Consider the following 18,559-nt stretch of genomic DNA (forward strand, 5'->3'; position numbering starts at 1 on the left):
GAAGTGGGATTTTAGGTTATTTTAACTTTTTTCTTTATGTCTTCCTCTATTCCCCAAATTCATTATAATAATCCTATGTCCATAGGTGGGGGAAAAGTTAGAGGCGATAGCAGAGAATTTGCCTTTTAAAATATATAAAGTTTAAAAGAAAGGTAAATACTAAATGATACAAATTCGAGGTGTTTAATTTATCTTTATATATTTTGTAATTATGACTGCATCAAAAATTACTTGAATACGGTTTTATTTAAAATTGAACAAATAAGCTCAATTAAAATAAATAAGTTCAGTTCAGATTTCTGTCACACAATTTGGCTAAAATCTCACTTTGATAATCCTTGCCTCCTGTATTCTTACTTGATTGCATCCTATTAAAAGCATTAGAGGGCATCAGTGTAATGCATAATCACTAACTCTCTCCTCCCACATCAGAATTAAGCTTTGGCAAGCAACTGCCACATGGAGAAAAGTCGCTGGGAAAGCCCTATTACTGCTAATAGGAATCATAAGACCACACTATTATGCAAAAATGTTCTTTTTACTGACTGATAAAATGCCAAGATGACACAAACTGGAGTTGTTTTTCTTGTTCCTAACACATGGAACAGCTCTCCAGTTACTAATAACCAACTAATGTATAGTCGAGCAGAAAAAAAAATTGAATATACACTAGAGGCCGCTAGTGATAAATAAGTGAATTTTGCATGAAGTGGAAAAAAAATGCTGCTAGTTCTACAAAGAAAACTGCATACTAAGCTCCTAAGCTTCAGCTGCCCTTTTAACTACTGTGCTGGAAGCCACAAAGCAATTTTTTTCTTAATTATTTCTCGCCTTAAATATTTTTTAACAAAAGAACTAAATCTGGGAAATTTTCATATTGGGAAATTTTGTAAAAACTTATTATTATTGTATATTTAAATTAAAGCCTTACCTTTAAGTAATAAAACCTTTTTAGATATTACAAATTAGAAAAATAATGTTATTCTCTCACTTTGTTGTCACAAAGACCCAAACCAACTAAAGAAAGCTCTATGTTGTAAAATATAAGCTTGTCTTGGTAATATTTCATTAAGAGGGGGGAAATATTTTTAAATGCAAAAGATATCTAAAAAAAATTTACAACCCTCTCCCTGGAAATTTATGAATCATAAGAGTAAAATTTTAAAGTTTACTTGGAAACAAATGTAACATGAATTCAGAAAACAAGAATCTTTTGATTAAAAAAAATTTTATAAAACTAAAGAGGAATTATACTTCCTACATACTTTTTTAAATTTGCAAAGAACGTTATTAAATTTCTCAGAATACACAAGAGGCATTTTTGTCACTTATTTGCATGACAGATGACCATTTCATTCCCTTTCACTGTCATTACATAGTGAGGAATAAAAACAGTTCCCAACCAGGGGCATTTTATACCCCAGTAAGTTAGGGACGTGTGTGGGGAGGCAGAAGTAAGGAGGAGATTAATAAAGACCATTAGACTATCCTAGGGCAAGAAGACAGCACAGGCAGCAGAGAAAAGATGCTGTTGATGTATACGCATGAGGATTCTTTTTGTTTTTTTTTTTGTTTGTATTTATAGTTGGCTGGTCCCACTTAGGCGTGCAGAAACTAGCATGGTCTCAGTCTTGACCGGAGGCAAATCCCACTCCAGAAACAAACACAACCAATAGAAACAAGGACATGGGCAGATATTCTCTCAGAACCACCTCAACTCAGTTGAACACCATATTACACTAGAAAAGAGACACAGGAATTCACCTGTAGTACACCCAGTGGCCGGCTCACAGGTGGCTAAGTGCAAGTCCTAACTTGTTCTTAGAGTGCAAGCATAGCTGTGGATCTGGCTTCCAGCTTCCCTTGATTCCTAAATGTTTCCCAAGCCTCCCAATTCCTGCATATTCCCCCAGCCTTCCCACTTTCTCTATTAATTATATCATGTTTGATTTTTGTTTACGTTGGCCAGAGTTCTTGTTCTGTACAACTAAAAACCCACACAAATACAAAAAGTTAAATAAGTCCCAATATTGTTAACAGAAGAGATTTTGGTATAGGTCTCTGATTCTCCTCTTAAATAAAAATAATCTTAAGAATTACCTTTTTGGGTCGGAAACACACATTCATACTGCAATCTGTGACAGTAGGCTATATGAAGTTTTGATGAGTATTTCTAATCATTCTTTAGTAACTCTTAAGCACATAGTTAAGAACTAATTGCTGGGGATAAGACAGTAAAAATGCTAGAGAAATGTATGCTTTCACTGAGGTTACAGGCTGGTGGGAATTTGCAAATAGGTGATTCTAATACGTTGTGATAAATGTTTGATAATAGAAGTGCTGGATAAGAGAACTTCAAGGACAAATTACGTAAGAGAGATGCAGAATAATAATGTAATATAACCTGGTAAGGTAAGAAATCTAGCCACGAAACACCCTTAGTTTATTTAGGATTTGTCACTTACTTGCTTAATTGAATATGTGGGGAAATTATTTTCAGTATGAATTGTCTAAAAGGAGTAACGCTGATTAGTTAAAAATATTTACTTATCATCTATTAGTTATCAAACCTGATCCTAGCTGCTAGGATTATTTCCAAAGATGAGTAAAACAAGAACAGGGAATTTTTCCCAATTAAATAGAAACACCCATGGATAATTTCAACATCATGTGACATTACAGTGAAGGACTGCTTAGAGAATTCATTCCTAACTTGGGTCTGTGAAAACTAAGATTTCTGGGGAGACACAACACATGGGCTGAGTTTTGAAAGATAATGATGCATAACACATGGAAGAAAGCAGGAGGCTTTTAGAAATGAATTACATAGTGTTCTGTAAAAAACAAACAAACAAACAAAAAACTCCAGTTGTACCTAAAACCTGCTCCTTGATATTTCCAAGGGCACTCCGATGGCTTGAAAATAATAGGCTTTTTTCAACATTTAGATGGCACCAAGATTTTAAATAATCTTTTAAACAGTGTTAATGCATACACATCTTCTCCCCACATGGCTCCTCTAGCCCTGGGTATCACACCCAGGTGTCAGCACCCCTACATGACACCCAGCAGAAACAGATGGAACCTGACATCCAAGGTGAAAAGAAAGTGTTCCCTGGTCTAAGCCCTGTAGAGAGGGACAACACCATCTTCCCTGTAGTCTAAGGAGAAGCATTGTTAGTCTCATTCAACAAAAGTGCTCCTTGCAATTCAAAATCACAGGATTTAGAGGAGTCAGCGTTTTTAATATTTACGATTTTTTATTTTAGTTCCTTTTAGTCTAGTCATTGATACACTAAATGCACTCTTATTCCCTTCCTCTGACTTTCTCTAGCTCTCTTCTACTTCCAAAGCCAGAGTTAACTATAGTGTAGTTAAGTATATTGCATATAATGTACACACACACAATGACTTTTTTCTTAGTGTGGTGTAATATCTTCTGTTGTATTTTAAATGCCCTCTCTGAGATTCTTCAGCATATTCTTGACCTTGCTGGCTACAGCAGCAAAACTGAAGTCTTTAAGGAATACACCTCAAACAACTCTCAGATTCCTAACCCCACATTGTAAGTGATAGTTCAGTGCTCATCTTTGTGTAATTGCCATTTGGATATTTTCCCATAAAATTTACTCACTAGCCCTTGCTTAAATTGAATTCCAGCTGTCACTTCTGTTCCCCAACAATTGGAAGACCGTGGATAGCTCAGTTGCAATCCTATCATCAACTAAAATGTCCTGCCCTATAGTGACGTGTCAACAAATAATATAAGTCATCTTGCCTAGTGTTGGAGTTATTCTGTTTGCTCTTGGCCAAATAATACAAATCCCAACTCTTAATAACAAGAAAACCAGGCAGGAAGAATCCGAGGGTGTATTTGCAAGAAGACCTGTATGTGCGATCACATAAGTGTGTATGAAAAACCAGACAGGGACAATTCCACAACTTTTTAAGAAACAATTTTGTTGGTGTGGTATTATGTGATTACTTTCAACCATCACTTCTTAACTCATTGATCTAAAAATCTATTAAAAATAAGTTTAAAACATGACAAGAAAACATGAGCTCTTATATTAACAATCACTAAAACAATTCAACATTTTTTTTAAAAAAAGTAAAATGTAAAAAGCCACGTTACTCAAAACTTTTGACAAATGATCTAGCATTCTCTAAAATATTACTGGAAGATAATTTATTTCTGAAGACTCCATCCACAGTGCAGGAAGGGAAAAGGGTTCTGTCAGGAACATACTTTATGAAATAGAATAGCCATAAAAAACAATGCCTCTGATTAAATTTAGTTGTAAACTGACTTCCTGCAGCTGCTTAAAATGGTCTCGCTCTGAAAATTTATTTTGGGTTCATGCATGATCTGAGAAACATAGCACCTTCGCATACACATTCCTCCCTCCTCTAACACTCCAAAATGATTCATAGCTATGCATGGATAATTTTGAGACCTCTGATTTATAGCATTTGATAACGAACAGACTAAAATATATTACTAAACTAATCTAATCAATAATTTAAGATAAATATGCCTTCACGGTTTGTTGTGTAAGGTTCTTTAATACCAAGACTTCTGTTGTAAATTATATTTTAAATGCACTAATCATTTTTACCTTTCATCATTTTGATTCAAAGACCTAATAATGTTGACATGCTTACACAGCTTGGTAATTTGATTGCATAAATACTTTTTAATGGAAATTTACTGAAGCAAATGACTAATCATTGCTAAGGCTAGGCTTATAAGAATCAACTGAACCAAAGATCTTTGGTTCATATTTGTTTCCTTTCTGCATATGTTAAAGCATATAGAAATTACATGTTTTGACTATTCCATGAGAGGCTTGAAAAGCAGTAAAAAAAAAAAAAAACACAATCAATGAGAAAATTAGTCATAGAGAGACTGAAATCAACTGCCACATATATTGGAGGTTATCAAGATCACAACTTATGCTCAGATACTTGACACCAACTTACTTCACACTGATTTCATGTTTATTGTCTTGCTCCTTTAAAAACAGAATTGAACAAGCTTTTATATACTTTTTACTAAGATATAGCAAATATAGACCTTACATATAAGTCTTTACTACTATTTTATATAATGTCTAGGATTGAGTTGAAAACACTGAGAATTTTGCTTTGTTCCAACTAAAAGAACATGTATTCCAAAGAAGCACATAAAAAAATGATAACAAATTTCAACAAAAAGGCAACTTTTAGAAATCAGGTTCATCAACTGTGTAAAATAAAGAAAGAAAATTGTGGTATACGCATATACTGGAACACTACTCGACAGCAAAAAGGAACAAACTACATAAAATAACATAATAAATACATAAAATACATGGATGAATAAAATAACACGGATGAATCTCAAAAGCATTTGATAAGTGAAAAATAACAGAAAAGACAACAAATTGTGTGATTTCATTTGTATGACATTCTAGAAGTCTACAGGGGACACGGTGTGGGAGGAGGCGAATGACTGCAAAGCGGGAGGTAGGAACTTTCTGGGATGATGGACGTGTTTTAATCTCGACTGTGGTGGTGGGTACACAACTATATAACGCTTCAAAAATAATTGAACTGTATGTTTAAAGTGGATGAATTTTGTTGTATGAAATTATAGCTAAACAAAGTGGATTTAAAACAAAAGAAATCAGATGCCAAACACTACCTTCCTATATGCCAACCACTATCTGAAAAATGCTTACAACGTTTCTGAAAAGTAATACAATTATTACATTCAGAATAGTTAACCATGACAAAAATATTTACAGCTATGGCCTAAAACTACATCAGGTACATGCTGAACTATTCAATAATTTATCATTATAGCTTTTAAGAGCCATGCTCCATCCTCTTGATTTATCCAGATCTTCTGTAATCAGCCACAGTAATGTTACCTCATCAAGATTTCTCTGAATACTCCAAAAGAAAGTGATCTCTTCCTGAAACGTCACAGATGAAGAAACTACAGCCCAAAAAGTTAAATTACTTGCTAAAAGTAATGAAGTGGCAGAACCCGATTTTGAACCTTAATCTAACTCTCTGACTACATAATGTCCCTTCTGGAGGGTGCTGCTACCTGCAATGAAATAAAACAAAATTGTTCAAAGTTACTCACAGGTAGCCAGACTTAGACTGTCACTGATTCACTGATTCCTTCAAGAGTAATCAGACACTTGCTACTACCAGATGCCTGGGTTAATTGTATTGATAAAGGCTTTAGAAGCTAATTCTTTTTTTTTTTTTTTTTTTTTTTTTTTTTGAGACGGAGTCTCGTTCCGTCACCCAGGCTGGAGTGCAGTGGCACGATCTCGGCTCACTGCAAGCTCCGCCTCCCAGGTTCACGCCATTCTCCTGCCTCAGCCTCCCAAGTAGCTGGGACTACAGGCGCCCACCACCATGCCCAGCTAAGTTTTTGTATTTTTAGTGGAGACGGGGTTTCACCGTGTTAGCCAGCATGGTCTTGATCTCCCGACCTCGTGATCCGCCCGCCTCAGCCTCCCAAAGAGCTGGGATTACAGGTGTGAGCCACCACACCCAGCCTAGAAGCTAATTCTTAAGAGCTCTCCTCCCACATTATTCAGTTATTTTAATTATATTTTGAACTTCATTTAGCTGGGGCACAAATAGTTGTAGAGTTAGAGTTACAACAGTCATCCTCTTCACACTTGATTAATCTAAAAAGTAGATTGATCTGATGAGTAAGTTGCATGATTATATAAAGCTCAAAGACCGAAATTTTAACTGTGAGAAAATTAATGAAGTGAGAGGAAAAAGAGATCAAGAACGTATTTTGCTTTTCGGTTTAAATAGGCCCTCGTCATCCTGCCATTGGTAATGAGTGTTTAATTATGTCGTCATTTCCATGAGTGCTAGGAATTTTTGTTAGGTGCTCATATTTAAAGAGAAAGAAAACTCCTAAACAGTTGAGCTAACTTTGAACAATGTTTATATAAAGATACTCTCCTGTAGACCTTTCCATTCAGGATTCTATATTCATTAATTACTCTGAGAAAACTAACCTAAAAACACCCCTCCCCACATTTCAGATATCCTACACACAATATTAAAGATATAGCAACTTCTTAGACTGTTATGCTGATGAGCCTGAGAATCTCTAAGTACCACAAAATCACAAATAAAAAAAAAACCTCACATTTAGCACTGATATTCATGGTACATATTGCTCTCAAAATACCAATGAATTCAAAAGCCAGGACCTTAGTTCCAGGACAAAAGATTCATTTAGACAGGAATTAGAATGCAACGTAACATAAGATATTCTGGAAATAAGTGGGATATATACTATACATGACTTTGGACAAAAATGCACAATCTTTTTAGACATAAGCCATTTCTGGCTTATAATACTAATAAGATATATAATTATCGAAAGTTTCTTTAACAACAAGATACTTCCAATAGCTGGTGTTGTATCTTATAAATCCTTGACTTAACAAAACTCAGTTTTACATCTCTGCTAACATATCAAGGAAAAATCACAAATTCAATAAATTCTCAAATGCTCATTAGTGTAGTAGATATGAAGCATATAAAGATGATTAATTATGATTGCTGCCTTCCAGGAGTTTACCACCTAGTGAAGAAGATACATCTACCCGTAGCTAAATCACAAGATAAAATAAGAAAGTAAATAATTACAAAGTATTATGCAAAGTTAAAGGGCAATAGATCACTAGAAATTTACAACCTAGTACAGAATATAAGTCTTTACAGCTTTAAATCAAGGTAAAATGTGAATGTAACATTGTGATTTAAGAGTATTATTACAGTGTAGGAAATGCCAAATCACTTCAGGCTGGAAGGGAAGAGGAGCCCTCCTGGAGTACATGGTGTGTTAGTTGAACACTGATGCACGGATACGACTGTTACAAAACATGCTGGCACATGCTGCTGAAACCATCTAAGAATGAGTACAGCCTAGGATCTACCATCACTGATTATTTCGAATGGCTGCACAATTGTAATGGACTATGGGTGGGGCTAATGTGTACCAGATCAGCCATGAGAAAGGGCCTGAGGAAAGTCAGAGGGGAGAAAGCGCGTGGCAAATTTAGGACAGTGAGCAGTTCTGCTTGACCAGAATACAAGGGAAGAAATTGGGCATGCCTAAAAAGATAACCCTGCATCTCAAGGTAGTTAATTGAGATTTCATCCAGGAGACAAAGGAGAATCTCCCTGCCTCTCCCCAGTCGCTACAAATGCACACACATATGTATACCTCACATGCTCTATGGTCCTAATCTTTTACAGCCCATTAGGATCCTCAGAATATTTTTTAATACCTTCACTCTGATATAACTGTCCTTGCTCCATGTCTTCCTTTGTTACAGAATCTATCACACTGAACTAGAATTTTCTCTTTATGTCATATAATCTGTCATACTGAATGGCACCAGGGAGCTTATGTTTACTGAGCTTGCATCCACTTAACAAGTAACTACAGAAAAATTAATCATATGTCCTACTGTCCCACAGGTCAGAACCAATAGATATTAACAGATACACTGCAATTCACGATAAGAAAAAATATTTAGGGCTTGTTTATCAAAACAAAACCTGATAAATGAAGAGAGGCTACTTTCATAGTTGAAACAGAGACAGACGTTTATGAAAGATGGAATGGCCTTGAGGACATTATGCTACATAAAATAAGCCAGTCACAGACAGACAAATGCTGCAAGATTATCTCATCTGAGGTATCTAAAATAGTCAAATTCATAGAATCAAACTGTAGAATGGGGTTGCCAGGGGTGGAGGAGAGTGAGAAATGAGGAGTTACTAATCAATGAGAATAAATTTTCAGTTAAGCAAGATGAGTAAGTTCTGGAGATCTAATGTATAACACTGTATCTGTAGTCAACAATATGTATTATACACGAAAATTTGTTAAGAGGTAGATCTCATGTTAAGTTTTGTTACCACAATTTTAAAACAATTTTAATAAAGATGGTGTGCAAGCATTTCACACATCTAGTATAGAACTGGACCTAAGCTCACAGCTGTTTTTTTAATTAATAAAAGTAACAAATAAGAATTGTGTTACAAGCTATTATATATCAAGTCATGAAATACCAATGGTCAATAAATACATGAAAAGATGCTCAACATCCTTAGTTATCAGAAAAATTTAAATTAAAATCACAAATTCCATTCACAAACACTAAATGGCTAAAATCAAAAAGATAAAAAAGAACAAATATTGGTGAGGATATGGAGCAATACAGACATTACTCATGGAAATATAAAATGGTATAACAACTTTGGAAAAGTGAAATGCCAATTTCTAGAAAGTTAAATATATATTTACCCTGTTACCCAGAAACTTCATTCTTTGTACCTGCTTCCCCAAATTAAAACATGTTCACAGAAACCCTTGTATAAGAAGTGGCATTTACACATAATAGCCAAAAACTGGAAACAACCAAATGTACATCTGGTGAATAAACAAATGTAATTGTGGTATATTCATACAATAAAATACTACTGAGCAATAAAAAAGAACTACCAATACATAAATGAATTGCAAAAACATGTGAGCAAAAGAAAAAAGACACAAAAGAATACATACTATATGATTTATTTTGCTCGAAATTCAGTAATAGATTTTTTTAAGTTCTATAGTAACGGAAATCAGAAAGTAGTTGACTGGGGGTAAAAAACTAGATTATCAATCATGAGGGAATTTTCTGGGGCTAGAGAAATGTTCTCTCTCGTTTTGGATGGTAGATAAGAGGCTGTAAATAAATGTCTAACAAAACCCATGTAATTAAACATCTATGATATGCATTTTATTGTACATTAACTATGCCTAAAAATTACATATATATAATTTATATATGTGATTTATATAATACACATGATTTATATTTATATATATGTGTGTATACATATATATAACCTTTATATATGTATACAAAGGTAACTTTTTAAAAAGAACATAGGATCTAACTTAAAGAAGTTTATATTGGCCAAAGATGAGACAATTTGAACACTGAAAACAATGATATCTGCATATCTGTAATAAAATGAAACCTATCTAATATGTATAAGCCAAGAGTTTGGGAGCACTAATTCAGTACTCTGAAAGCAGGTAACAGAAGAACATTAATCACCTCTACTTCATAAACTATGCTTCCGTTGTCTAATCTTGGACTTTCTGGGCTGCAGGATAAATGGGCACTATGTTTCTACTTGCTGATTATGGCCAAATCCAATACCCTTTTCTGAGTCTTCTTTTTACTACACACATCTCCCCATGGGTCCCAACAGCCTCACCTGCCACACTTTAACCTTCCCTTTCCCTCTGGGTCCATGAAAGAGTAAAGGGGCCAGCAGGCCCAGGCAGGGGCCTGGAGCACACCTGGGTCCTCTTCAGGCTCTCCTAGGGCCCTAGCTCCATGAGGGACAGAGATGGACCTCAATGTCCAGCAGTATCCAGAAGCAGAGTGACACGGGGCCTGGGGCCTCACGCCCTGCCACTCCTCAGCCTGAGCAGAGGAGAGAAGGTCCCATGACTGATTTTTCCTTCAGCTCCACTCCTCTGTAAACTTTGTTCCTCTGCTACTGTCTATATGTCTTCCTTCCTTCCATTCAAAATGTACAAATATTTTGTCTTCAACTGAAGATGATTCTTTAAAAATTCATGTTTTATCACATAATTATGAGGCATTGCATTGTACATATGGATGTTAAGTAAATAAATAAGAACAGGGCAAGTAGTGGTCCACAAAATACATACTGGCTTTTTAAAACTCATGCATATTTTTTCGTTTTTTATTGTGATGCCTTTCTATTAGAAATACAATTAAGAGGAATTATGCTTAGTCACCTGAATCCAACTAGTTTGACTGGTTAGGGTTTGTATTTAGAGGTTGATTCAAGGACTTAATTCCCACATGAGACAGTTAGTTTCACTCATCTTCCTATTAGAGATTCTACCCTCACCCAGGCCAGCGATGTCCCCGGGCATCAGAGTAGGAATCATTGCAAACACATAATTACAATTACAAAATCAATGAAAAGTACAATGTTTTATTGAACATCTTCATACATGAACAAACAGTTGTTAAATTATATAAATTTTCTTGGAAGACTTCTATAAGATTACTTATAAATGTGTTGAGAAACATCACACGTGGTTATTTTGAAATTTGGGCCAAAAATAATGGTACTCACCCCCTAAATCTGGTAATCTGTTTTGCTTTCAAATATGAATAAAAGTGTTCTGTTTGAAATCATCTGCTTTGTAGCAACATGGATGCAGCTGGAAGCCATTATCCTAAGTGAATTAATGCAGTAACAGGAATCCAAATACTGCATGTTCTCACTTATAAGTGGGAGCTAAACACTGAGTACTCATGTACATAATGATGGCAACAATAGACACTGGTAACTATGAGAATGGGGAGGGAGGGGGTTAGGGGTTGAAAAAGTAACTACTGGATATTACACTCACTACCTGGGTAACGGGATCATTCATATCCCAAACTTCAGCATCACACAATATACACATGTAACAAAACTACATATATATATATATATATATATATATATATATATATATATATATATATATATATATATGCCCTGAATCTAAAATAAAAGTTGAAATCATTTTTTAAAGTGCTCTGTTATCTTTATTAGTGTCCACTCCAATTCAGTAAAAATAATCAATATGAGAGTCTATATTTCTTCACAAGCATTATCGACAGATCTTATGATCAAAGATCACTTGGAAGGCACAGTGTTGAGATCCTTTCACAGTTGTGGTTACAATTACGTTCACAAGCTACACCTGCCATGAGAGAATACTTGGCACCAGATTATTTGCCAGCAAGCAGGCTACAGGCCCAATACATAAGCTTGGCCTCATGGGCATTATGCTCTTATCTGAAGTAACTGGCCTAGACCCTTTTTTTACAACACATACTTGAGCGCTTTTTCACACATTGTCCATGTCAGGTCTTGGAGGATACTGTCAGAGGAATCTGTAAAGTTACAAAATGAAGGAGCAAAAAATGTTAAGAATTTAAACTGTCTTCTTGGCTGTCACTCTTGCTATACTTTTTGATAATGCATCTAGTCCCCAGATATTAGCATTAGCACGTCCAGTCTCGAAGGAAACATGCCTTCCTCCTATAAGAAACCGGCTGCTTTCAAAAAGCAGCTCCAGTGTTAGAATTTTTCATCCCATAAAGAAAAATATATTATTTCAAAATACATATATTTAATTTGTACCTAGAGTGTGTTACATCATAATGTTTTTATTTTTTGCACCAAGAAGGTAATTTCTTAAACTATAAACATTTCAATATAATAACACATATGATAGAGATGAAACTATGTTTCATAGTTAGTCTACTTATATGTTCACTATAAATTCTTGTGTTTGCCAAGGTGTTTGGACTACAAACATGTTCACAATGAGCTAGGTTTAAAATCTACTTCCATCAAACATACTGTCGTATCTAAAAATACCTTACCGCATACAGATAAGACAAATCAGACAGCAGGGATAGTAAATCTTAAGGAAACTCTTTATCTCTTAACATATAAGTGTATGCATAACTGAGAAATAATTAAGTTAAATTATACTGGGCTTTACTCAACACTAATATAAAATCTCATATTTTCTATGAGGGAATATACATCTACTTTATATAAAATCAGTTTTCATTCATTTACACTGTTTGAATAACATCTCAAATTGCAATTTGAAGTTTTATTTAAGCTGACTTTCACAGTTCTCACAAGTATCAAGATCTGATAATGCTACTTAATGTGGCTTTGAAGTAGCAGAATGAAGGTTTTTAAAATAAGAATAGATGGGCCTCATTCTACTAAGAGATACCATTCAAAGCAAGAAATAATACAACATGGTTAAGCAGCTCAGGTTACTCTTCCCTCACTGAGGAGATTTTCTATAAAAGAGTCTGAAGGAGAATTAACAATGTCCACTTACAAGAAGAAAATAAAACAACAGAAGAGCAGAAATTCATGGTACTATGCACATTGACTAAAAGAAAGCATACCTTTCTCTCTCTCCTTCGGTGATATCATATAAGCGGTTGGCACCTCCATCGGCACAGGCTCTTAAAAGAGCTTCAAATAGAAAGAACAAAATCATTTCAATACAGGAGGCACAGAGCAATATCTTTCAAATGATGATCACTAAAAAGCAGGCACTCAGACGCACAGAGTCACGCTAACCTCTGTGAATCATTTCACATTCATCTGTTGACACTGCTGGTACTAAAAACAATTCTATATTGCACATGACAAATGACAAGTTTATTTCCTTTCTGCATCTTTTTTTTTTTTTTTTTCCTGAAATGGAGTCTGGCTCTGTTGCCCAGGCTGGAGTGCAGTGGTGTGATCTCGGCTCACTGCAACCTCCACTTCCCGGGTTCTAGAGATTCTCCAGCCTCAGCCTCCCAAGTAGCTGGGATTACAGGCATGCGCCACCATGCCTAGCATATTTTTGTATTTTTAGTGGAGACGTGGTTTCACCATATTGGCCAGGCTGGTCTCAAACTCCTGACCTCAGGTGATCCACCCACCTCAGCCTCCCAAAGTGCTGGGATAACAGGCATGAGCCACCGCGCCCAGGCTTTGCATCTTTTTTGATTAAATAAAGGAGAAGACTGTAGACGGTGCTAGCATGTCTTCAATGTTTCTTGAAATTTTTTTTCCTTTTTATAACAGAAGATAGGCCTCAGGCTCTATGACAGGCAACAGAAAATGGTTTGTTGTTTTTGCAGTTTGAGACAGGGTCTTGCGCTGTCACCCAGGCGTGAGTCCAATGGCTCGATCACAGCCCACTGCAGCCTCAACCTCCTGGACTCAGGTGATCCTCCCACCTCAGTCTCCCAGGTAGCTGGGGCTACAGACACACACCACCGTATCCTGCTAATTTTTATATTTTTTGTAGAGATAGGGTTTGCCCAGGCTGGTTCCAAACTCCTGGGCTCAAGTGATCCACCCACCTTGGACTCCCAAAGTGTTGGGATTACAGGCGTGAGCCTCTGCACCCGGCAGGATATGGTTTTCATTGTGTTCCCTCCTTTTAATAATTTTTACATATCCTTTTGATTTACAATATGTAGTATGGGTTTCAATTTTTATTTTGATTAAAACATTTCCTCTTAAAAATAAATGTTTATTTTAAAATATAAGTAAATAATAATCTAGATAATATGAGCATAATGTAAAAATTGTGAAGGTGGTACAAAATTAACTGAAACTTGGAAATGCTAAGGTAATCAAATAAATCCTGCTGTCTCTCCAACTTGGGCCTTGGCCTCCTCCTTTCGCATGATTTCTCCCTGCTACTGCTCTCGGATTTGATGCTGCTTATCAACTGCTCCCTGAAGTTTTTGCAGTCCATGGAAAGCTATTTTTATTGCTGGTGCTACCTTTCTGAGTTTTGTTCTTCATAGAAATATTTAGTATCTTAGCATCAGCTCAGAATGAACATTGTTAGGCATCAAACTAGCAGGTTCTTTGCTAGAGGCCTAAGATAATGTGACAGGGTCTCCACTTTAAGCATCTTCTAACCAGTGCAAATAAGCCAGAAGCCGATTTATTAAAGTCCACTCTCAGAATTGACAAACAAAGTGAGAAACTACTTTTCTTTGAAATTAAAATTAATGGCACAGGTAAGCGGAATTGAGGGAAAGAAAACAAACAGCCACTTTCCCTTATGTATTCCTCAGGTATTTGAAATACAAAATAGTTCAGATGAGTACAGCCTCTAGAAAAAGATCAGTGACACATGATTTGTTTTAGAAACTGTAAAATAATAGATGCTAGAAAATGACCACTTAAACAAATAAAAATCCACAGTTTCCATTGTGGGAATTTCCCCTGAATTTAATCCACCCACGAGGGCAAGATGTCGTATGAAAGTATTTGAAATAGGATGGAATGGTCCGAAATCTCAGCAGGGGACCTAACCACCTCCTGACATTTCACACCTGCATACCCCACCCAGCTTTAATGTACATTTAATGAGCCTCTCTTGGTGGTAAAGACACTCCTCTTCCGTGTGGCTGCAAATGTAATGACTTCAGCTTCATTCTGGAATAATAGATTAGCTGAGTATAAATAATACTGTAAATTGGTAGTAAATTTGACGGTATTAGTACATTGGCTTCTGATTGCCATTGGTACACTGATACTTTCAGAAAGCCGCTGTCAGTCCAATATTCTTGTGTATCTAACCTGTTTTCTCTTTTTGGCAAATTTTAAGACTTTCCCTTTGTCTTTAGTTTTCCGAATTTCACCATCGTGTAGCTTATTTGGAATTAACTGTGCTTCCAAGGTTGGGCGTGGAGGCCTTAGGAATGTAATCCCAGCACTTTGAGAGGCAAAGGCGGGAGGACTGCTTGAGCTGAGAAATTCAAGACCGGCCTGGGCAACATGGCACGACCCTGTCTCTACAAGAAATTTTTAAAAATTAGCTGAGCATGGTGGCACTCACCTGTAGTCCCAGCTACTTAGGAGGCTGAGCTGGAGGATCGCTTGAGCCTGGGGAGGTCCAGGCTGCAGTAAGCCAAGATGGCACCACTGCACTCCAGCCTAGGCGACAGAGCCAGACCCTGTCTGAAAAACAACAACAACAAAATGTGCTTCCTAAATCTGAGGACCCATGACTTTCTTCAGTTCTGGATAATTCTTAGCCACTTTTAATTCCATTATTTCCTACCTTCCATTCTCTCTACGCATCAATTTTCTGACTCTCCATTTAAACGTATTTTTAGACAGTCTCATTCTGCCCTTCACATTTCTTTTTTTTTTTTTTTTTTTTTTTTTTTTTCTTTTTTTTTTTTTTTTATTATACTCTAAGTTTTAGGGTACATGTGCACATTGTGCAGGTTAGTTACATATGTATACATGTGCCATGCTGGTGCACTGCACCCACTAATGTCACATTTCTTAAACTGTGTCGCTTCTATCACCTTTTCTTTCTGTGTATGCATGTAATTTCTTCAAACCTCTCTTGCAATTATGTCTAGTCACCTGTTTAAAACATTAAAGTTTATAGTCTTACTGATTCTTTTTAAAGAAGTTCTATTTGATTCTTTTTTCAATTCAAGGTCTTTTCTGATAATCTGTTGCTAATATTTTCTATACCTTCTTTTATCTTTTTTTTTTTAAAATCCTTTTCCTATGGATGGGATATTTAAAGAATATCTACCTGACTATATTGTCAGAAATAAAAGTTCCAATGTATTTTCCACTTATCCATGATATGTAAGACTATTTTCTGTGTTCTATGGTACATGAGAAATAAAGCAGAGGCGAAGTGGAAAAAAAAATATTCATTTTCTCTGTAGCTTACTCACCAGTAAATAAGCATATTACTTATGGAATAAGGTTATTAAGTAATTACTTAATGATTATATATAGTGCTCATTACGATACAAGAATACAATAAGCATTCAATAAACATTGAGTCCTCTTTTTCCATTTTTGTCAGAATGAAAAAAAAATCTGAAAAGATTGTGTTTCTGGAAAAGAAAAGCCTTATCTACTTAGAAAATAAAAAACAAAAATAAGAGTTTTTATAAAGACATCTAAAAGGGATGTCTCATTTTACAAATTACCAACACACATTTCCTAGTAAGGAGTGACACTCAAATTCAAATTATGTCACAAATATAACTTGCAGAAGATCACAGAAGATATCGCACATTTCCTAAGTATCAAAACCATCAAAAGCTAAAAAACAGAGATCATTTCACGTATAAAATATAGCACAAAACAAGTGATTAGGGAGATAGAAAGGACTCGTTAATAGAAACAGATGGTAAACTATCGGTAATTATCTTTAGAGAATATAAAACAATTCTCTGTAAACAAAACTAACAAGTGTATGGAATATTTTTATGTAATAACCGATTCACTAAAGTAATATGAAAATCTCAGAAATAGTAGTTTTTAATGGTCAAGGATTATCAAATAGAATGACTTGCCAATTTTTCACATTACACCATTTTGCAAAGATCGGTTGAATTCAACGTGTATTCCTATTATGTGCTAGGCTTACATAAGATAAAAAGATGAACAATAAACAGATCTAGTTCTCTGGGTTCATATTATAGTGAAAAACACGAAAACAGAAGCAAATACATGCAATGCACTGTAGACTGTGGTGAGGGCTGTAAAGAAGTCACCAAAATGCAAGAGGAAGACAAGGAAAGAAGAAATGAATTTCAGCGGGCAAATGTGTAAAACTGCTAATAATAAATCCAGTTCAGCTAAGATCATTGTTACTTTTACAATAGAAAAAACGCTAATGCCTGTTATTTCCAACATCCACCTTTAAATTGATATTTCTTGAGCAGTGTATAAAAAGAGAAACACCTATATCATAGGAAGTAAATTTGTCCACATCTATTCCTGCTTTAAATGGCAAAGGGAGCTAAAATAAGCATGATGAAATGTTTAGACTATTTTCTCAGTGCTTGTAGGTTGAGAGTAGGGATTCAATCCATCTGGAAGGAAAAACAAGTTCCAGTCTGTCCCTAAAACCATTTTGTTTTCAATAAAGCATGACCAAAAAAATGTATTCTACCTCTCCTTCATTTTATTAACAAAGAGGTTTTCACCAGTTTCAAATATTTTCTATAAACATAAATAAAACTGCATTTGAAAAATGAAATGTTTCCAACACATTGTAAACAACATTGGCATAAGTTCACACACAGCGACATTTGAAAAATGTGTAAACCAATATCACTGTTAGAGAAAGTGACCAACTAAAGGAACCAGAAGTAGAGGACATTCTTTAATTTTTGATAAATCGTAATGAATCTACCTAAAAAAAGTTCACTTTATCATCATTTAAGTTGTCCCAAGCTTTAATGAATAGAAGTTACTGCATGAGTTATCTTTTAATGTAAAAATTCTATTGGCTTATACAGCAAAATTTCTGCAGATTTGTCACATACCATAACTTCAATGGTTGAGCAATTACTTACCATGCAACAGGCTGATAAACAGATGAAGACTAAAATATATTAAAAACCTCTACAGCAACTTTATATTTTAGTAGAACCCGTAAGTAGGTGAAATACATCTTTAACTTTTTTTTTTTTTTACTTGGCATAAGTTAACATTACTGACAAATAATGAAGAGCTTCAGGCACAAGCAGAGGTTAGTTCCCTATTTCAAATAGTTCCCTATTTCTTTGGAATAAAGTTGAGTTGAAATAACTTCACTTTCTGCAAAGTAGATTATAAATTAGTTCCAAATATTAAAGTAGGAGAATAAAACAAAATAGATTCTGCAGTTTCAGTTAACTCAAAGAATACGAGAGACAGACAGTGCTAGTCTAGATCAGCCACTTAGTCCTATGATGTTGAGCTAATCCTAAGCATTCTGATTTTAGTGCAAAATCAAGATCATTTTGTATATCCTACCAAAATCACACACACAAAAATTCAGGGACTAGAGAGAGACAACATAAATAAAAGTAGAAGGAAGGTGCAGGAGGAAACATTATCTCACACG

The 18,559-nt window shown here is 35.2% G+C and overlaps 1 protein-coding gene across 41 annotated transcripts in view; it reads right to left on the reverse strand.

The window, feature by feature from the left end:
• TPK1 (thiamin pyrophosphokinase 1) overlaps window positions 1–18,559 on the reverse strand; it is a 384,497-nt gene that overhangs the window by 217,895 nt on the left and 148,043 nt on the right. For 34 of the 41 annotated variants that reach the window (NR_146934.1, XR_001744630.2, XM_005249970.2 and 31 more), the window contains one exon: window positions 13,074–13,143. The exons of 4 other annotated variants lie outside the window; for them this stretch is intronic. Coding sequence is in view for 26 of the 37 variants with exons in the window: in XM_005249970.2 (XP_005250027.1) it covers window positions 13,074–13,143 (70 nt within the window). In the remaining 11 variants the exon portion in view is untranslated. Of the gene's footprint in view, window positions 1–11,971; window positions 12,030–13,073; window positions 13,144–15,523; window positions 15,545–18,559 lie in introns of those variants that run through there. 3 more of the 41 variants (NR_146936.2, XM_011516039.3, XM_017011971.2) reach the window with 2 other exon arrangements.

This window comes from Homo sapiens, chromosome 7 (assembly GCF_000001405.40).
Source record: "Homo sapiens chromosome 7, GRCh38.p14 Primary Assembly".
Classification (NCBI taxonomy): domain Eukaryota; kingdom Metazoa; phylum Chordata; class Mammalia; order Primates; family Hominidae; genus Homo; species Homo sapiens.